General features: G+C 38.9%; 1 annotated feature.

Annotated features, from left to right (window-relative positions):
• Window positions 3,916–5,115: an enhancer, noted in NCBI's record as "BRD4-independent group 4 enhancer chr11:106332263-106333462 (GRCh37/hg19 assembly coordinates)". NCBI's record gives its function as "activates an origin of replication core promoter dependent on BRD2, P300/CBP, MED14 and CDK7 cofactors, and independent of BRD4, by STARR-seq in HCT116 cells {active_cell/tissue: HCT116}" and the evidence as "EXISTENCE:reporter gene assay evidence [ECO:0000049][PMID:35650434]".

The raw sequence follows: 5,520 nt of genomic DNA, 5'->3' as shown, positions 1-5,520 counted from the left end.
ATTTCATGACTCGGAATAACTACTAAGTGCCTTTGAGTCTTATTTAGCCCATTCACCTGTCAGAGCCCAGACCCTGCAACTAGCTGGGTGACCTTGAGTAAATTACTCTCTGTGGCTAAATTAATCATCTGTGACTGTTTCCATACACATAAAATGGGAATACTTAGGCTACCTACCTCAGAATGCTGTTGTGAAAATTAAACAGCATTTCTACAGTACTTGGAACAGAGGCTGGCATGCAATAAACATTCCACACATCACTGTGACTATCATTTCTATAATATTGTTTTTCATGAACAGTTGTATATTCTGCTTGTGCATTGCTTTAAAGTACACCAAAACCTGATGATTGAATTATACAGGCAAAGTTTGGGGCCACAGGTATTTCATCTTCCCCCTCAGCCTTGCTTCATCTACCCTAAGCCTTTTTGAAATATCTTCAGAACCCTGGACCACTGCATTCATTTGCTAGGGCTGACGTAAAAGTACCACAGACTGGGTGACTTAAACACCAGAAATTTATTTTCTTACAGTTCTGGAAGCTAGAAGTCCAAGATCAAGGTGTCGAAGGGGTTGATTTTTTCTGAGGCCTCTCTCCTTGGCTTATAGATGGTTGTCTTCTTCTGGTGTCTTGATATGGTCATTGCTCTGTTCATGTCAATATCCAAATTTCCTCTTCTTAGGACACCTGTTATATTAGACCGGAGCCAGCCCTAAGAACCTCGCTTGAACTTAATGACTTATCTAAAGACCTTATCTCCAAATACATTCTGAGACTGGGGATTAGGACTTCAACATATGGATAGGGATGGGACATGTTAGGCCACAACAACCTAAACCCAGTTTAGCTATCAGTCCCCAATCTCTGTAAGAAAAAAGTCCTAACAAGCATTGAGTTCTTTTCCTGCTATTTGTCTCTTGGCAGGGGACCGATGTAGTAGAATAAGCTCAACCATTGTTAATGGCACAGAGAACCCCATCCTGCAAGGATCTATTGTTCCCCGTAAGCATATTTCAATACCCTGAAGCCAAGTGTGGAAGAAATTAAATAGAAAAATTAAGTTCATCTTGCCACAATCAATAGGGGTGCGTTCTGACACAACCACCTACCCCATCAAGGTCATCATTCCCCAGACAAGTTTCCAGGGCCCAGGAACCAGACCTTGGAGTCAGAGGCTTGCTTAGGATTTCACATTTCCCCCACGTCCTCTGGAAGCAAGCTCACTAGTGCCTAGAAAATGACAAATCTAACTGATCACACATAGACTGGCCCTTTATGTGAGGGCATTTGCTTCTGTGAGATTTAGATGAGCCCAGTTGGAGTTGTTCGCCCATGGTTTCTCCTACTTCTTCCAGATGTGGCCTTGGCCTCAGCCATGCCTTGCTACTGCCACTTCATCTTTGCTGTCTCTTTGGGGGTTCTTGGTTTCTACCACCGTGCTGCCGTGGAGCTGCTCCTCACTCCCGTCAGGAAAATGCTGAAACCCTTAGCAGTGTTTCTCATTAAGTTTCACTCTCAAAGACAGAAAAACTCATCCCTAAGTTTTACACCCAGGAAGCTTAGCTGAGTGGAATTTTATCCCATCTTTCTGAGCACCCTGTCTTCTCATGATGCAAAAGGCCTAAGTACCACTCTAGAAGCATCCTGGCCATCTCTGCAGAAGCCTAGTTAGCAGTAGCTAGCTCAGTATTACATAGGTGTATGCATTCTACAAATATGATTCACCTAAATTTCCTATCTGGGAAGGTGTGGGATACAATGAGTAAAAAAAAAAATAGGCTTTAGGTTAAAATGACTAGTTAAATTCCTCTTCCCTTGCATTCCTTTTTTGACAAGTCATTGTTAAGAGCCTACTATGTGCTCTGCAGCTGTGATCTTAAGTAAATTTTTTGCACATCAGTTTTTTAATCTACAAAATGAAATAATAATTGCTACCTTGTAGCATTCTCAGAATTAAATGGCCTAATGTATGCAAAGACCTTGGAATATATAGTAGCTACTCAATAAATGGTAACTAGTATTATTTTCAGGTTAATGGAGAGTGACAGCAAATAGACCTGTAGTACTTTGTGATGGACATGACATTTTATCAGCACTGCCCTTTATGCCATTTTAGTGAGGTCTTCTTTTGTCAGGTTCCCTCAAACACTCCTCCTTCATTCATTCAATATGCAGAGTTTATGTGAGTGTCAACTCTGTCCTAGGCACAGCACCAGGCCCAAGGAATACAAGAGTGAACAAAAAATGCATAGTTCCTGAAAGCAGGAGGCTTATAATGATAAAGAGAAAGACAGATATTGAGCAAGTGATTTTATATATATGGTATATGCGCCGTGCAGAGGTATAAGTTACCTGAGAGCCTGTATTATAAAACCTGAGTGTGGGTGTCAAGTGGTACCTTTAGTCTGATAAAATCTGCTTAAGAAAATATCTACAGTCTGCAAATTACACAGTAATATTGGTATGAGTTGAAGTCTAGCTAAGCTATCAGCATTCCTGCAGTAGACTCAGCTTTCTGGATATTCCCACGACTTGTGTACATTCTGTCCCACATGACACTGATAGGAAAGGCATGTCCTGTCACTCCTGGGAATATATGTGTTGTTGTTTCATGAGATTTGGCTTCCCCAAAAGAAATGAGAAAGACCTAACATGGCCTTTCGTTATGAGAACATTCTTTCTGCGATCATTCCTGGCAAAATAATTTCATTTCTGCAAAAGCTTCCTAATGCATACTACTTTAACCCAGTTAGAGTGAAGGTGGCAGATTGGAAAATTGGCTGTGGTTTTCAACGTGAGCAATCAAAACAAATAAGGATGACTCTAGACTTCTAATGTCTCCCATGACCATTATATGTGAAATACAGGTTGGGTTTTTTTCTTACTGTTTTTCTTTTCTTTTCCTCTTCTTCTTCTTTTTCCTCTTCCAGTACTGTTATCTCTCTTTCTCACCCTTTTTAGTGTTACTTTAGTACTGTTCGAAAGAATTGAGAAGCCAAAATTCCTTGTATTCAGAAATAGCATTGCACAGACAGAGGCAGTGGGCCTCTACTGCCCAGACTTTATACTTTCTGGAAAATCCATTGCAAATTTTCACTGACCAGAATAGTGACATGACCTCTGAGGATAATTTCCTCTAGCCATCCAATTAGAGACTCAGACCTCTCCAAGGAGAATTAGGAAACAATCAGCAGGGAGTAATTGTAGGATGGTAGCTGTGAAATAGCTCTCTACTTAGTAAATGTGATGAATAGGCAGAATGTAAATCTCCTGAGCCAAAAGAAAATCATAAGTGGATAAAGCAGCTTACACACTAACTATGGTTTTTAGTGATGGCTTATATGGCTTAAGATCCTCCGAGATCTGCAAGAAGCAGAGCTTACTAGAGGTGCCAAAAAGGATTACTTTTTGCACACTGTAATCTCTACTTGTTTACAGATTCAAATAGATCTTTTTGACAGCCCAAGACAAGGAGTTCATAGAATAGAAAAACCTGGATGGCAAAAAAAACAAAAATATCATTAACATTTTGAAAAAAATAACTTTTAATTATAAAACTAATATACTTGAAAAGATTATTTAAGAAAATTTGAAATGTAATGAAGAATATTTTTAAAATACTGATGAAGAAAAACAGTATGTATGCATATAATATTAAATTGTTACATGTTTAAAGGCCTCTCCCAACATGTTTTCTGATTGCATAATGTTCCTTTGTACAGAAGTAATATAATTTAACCAGACAACCTTCTGCTGATAGACATTCAATTATTATTTTTGTCCATAATTAATGTTGCAATAACTGCTGCTTCAGCTGACTTTAGCTGTATCATTGCATAGTTAAGATTATTTCCTATGATATCCTTCTAAAAATTGAATTGCTCAGTCAAAATTTACATATTTGAATGGTTCTTGAGTAATTACTGCCAAATTTCCCTTCAGAAGGGGTACTTCTGTTCACTCCAAACAGCGTGATTGATGAGAAACCATATTTTCTGGGGACATGTTCTAAACAAAAATACAAAAATCTTAATTTTATTTCTTATTTCCTTTGCACAAACGTAAACCAACTATTGCTCATTTTCCCCCTACTTGGTCTCCTATCTTCCTCTCAGCATGCTGCTTGAAATTCTTCCCATCTCCATCTCCATGTGTGGTCTAATGGAGCTGGCCCTTTTTTCTGCAAATGCTTTTTTCTTTATCAGAGAGGAATGCAATGTTTCATCTGACCCTGACTTGACAGATCTGAGGTTTAGCAATAAATTCCTCTTATCTTCCTTATCAGATCTGAAGGTCAAAGGTATGGTTCCAAATCTAAGTGCTATTTTTGACAAAGAAAGCCAAACACTCCCTTTTCATCTGAAACATCACAAACCTTCATTGTTTTCTCTTACTAAATGCACTTCTGGGAACCCTCGATTTGTTATAGCCTCCTTTGGGTTCTGTATAATGACCTGCCACTATGTGATAAGGGAAAGATTGATTTTGCTTTCTTCTTGTAAAAGAAAACACAACTTCCTTATTTGAAAGAATATCCATTCCAAAAAGCTATGTACTGTGTTGTGACCCAGCACCAGCCCTCTTTGACCCCGGCACCAATTAGCAGAAAGTACTCTACTGTCCTGACCCCCTGTCCTCCACCCCAGCAATAAACACACCACTTCAGGTAACATAGATGGAGATCTGTGCTGTCCTACACAGTAGCCACTAGCCACATGTGGCTATTTAAGTTCAAATTAATTAACCGTAACTAAAATTGAAAATTCAGTTTCTCAGTTACATTAGTTATATTTCAAGTGATCCGTCAGTTTAAGTCTAATATGCAGCTACAGAGCAGTACATATTATAGAACATTTTCATGGTCAGAAAAATTCTATTGGACACCATTCATCTAGAGATTCATTTTTGGTGATTTCCAGAAAAGGGCTGAGGGCAAATTTAGAAACAGATTTCTTTCTCCAAGTTTGTGCTTTTTCTTTCAAAGTACCTTACCCTCTCAATCCCAACATAGAAATCTCTGGTTCATGTACTGGTCTGATAAGGAATATTTACAATCACGTGCAGTGAAGAGTTAGGGATCAGAAAACAATTCCCCAAAATGAAAGCCTCAGCAGCAGTCTCACAAGCAAAAGTTCTTCTCTGACCTTTTCCTGTCCTCTCGTCTCTCGGGCCCATTCTCCCCAGAGGCTAGCCATAGAAACGAGAATCATTCTTCCTGAAAGTGGGTCATAAAAACCAGAACCCTTTTCTCAAAAGCCAGAAATAAAACCTAAAAATATTCTCTGTAAAAACTGGCCATAAAGAAATTATCTGACCTATCTTGTTTGATTGTAGGTCATAATGCCCCCATTCCAGACAGGGTCATGCTGACACCCAGAAGGAAGGAATGCATGCTCAGAGACACCAAGAAGAATCTGGAAAGAGGACTTGCCCGGTTCCTCACTCAGTCTATTAACATTAGATCATACTCTTTTTGTCCAATCATATTTCTACACAGCTATCCATATTTTGTTGAATAC

This window comes from Homo sapiens, chromosome 11 (assembly GCF_000001405.40).
Source record: "Homo sapiens chromosome 11, GRCh38.p14 Primary Assembly".
Taxonomy (NCBI): domain Eukaryota; kingdom Metazoa; phylum Chordata; class Mammalia; order Primates; family Hominidae; genus Homo; species Homo sapiens.
Note: the sequence above shows the minus strand (reverse complement) of the source record. Positions and strands in the feature narration are given on the sequence as shown.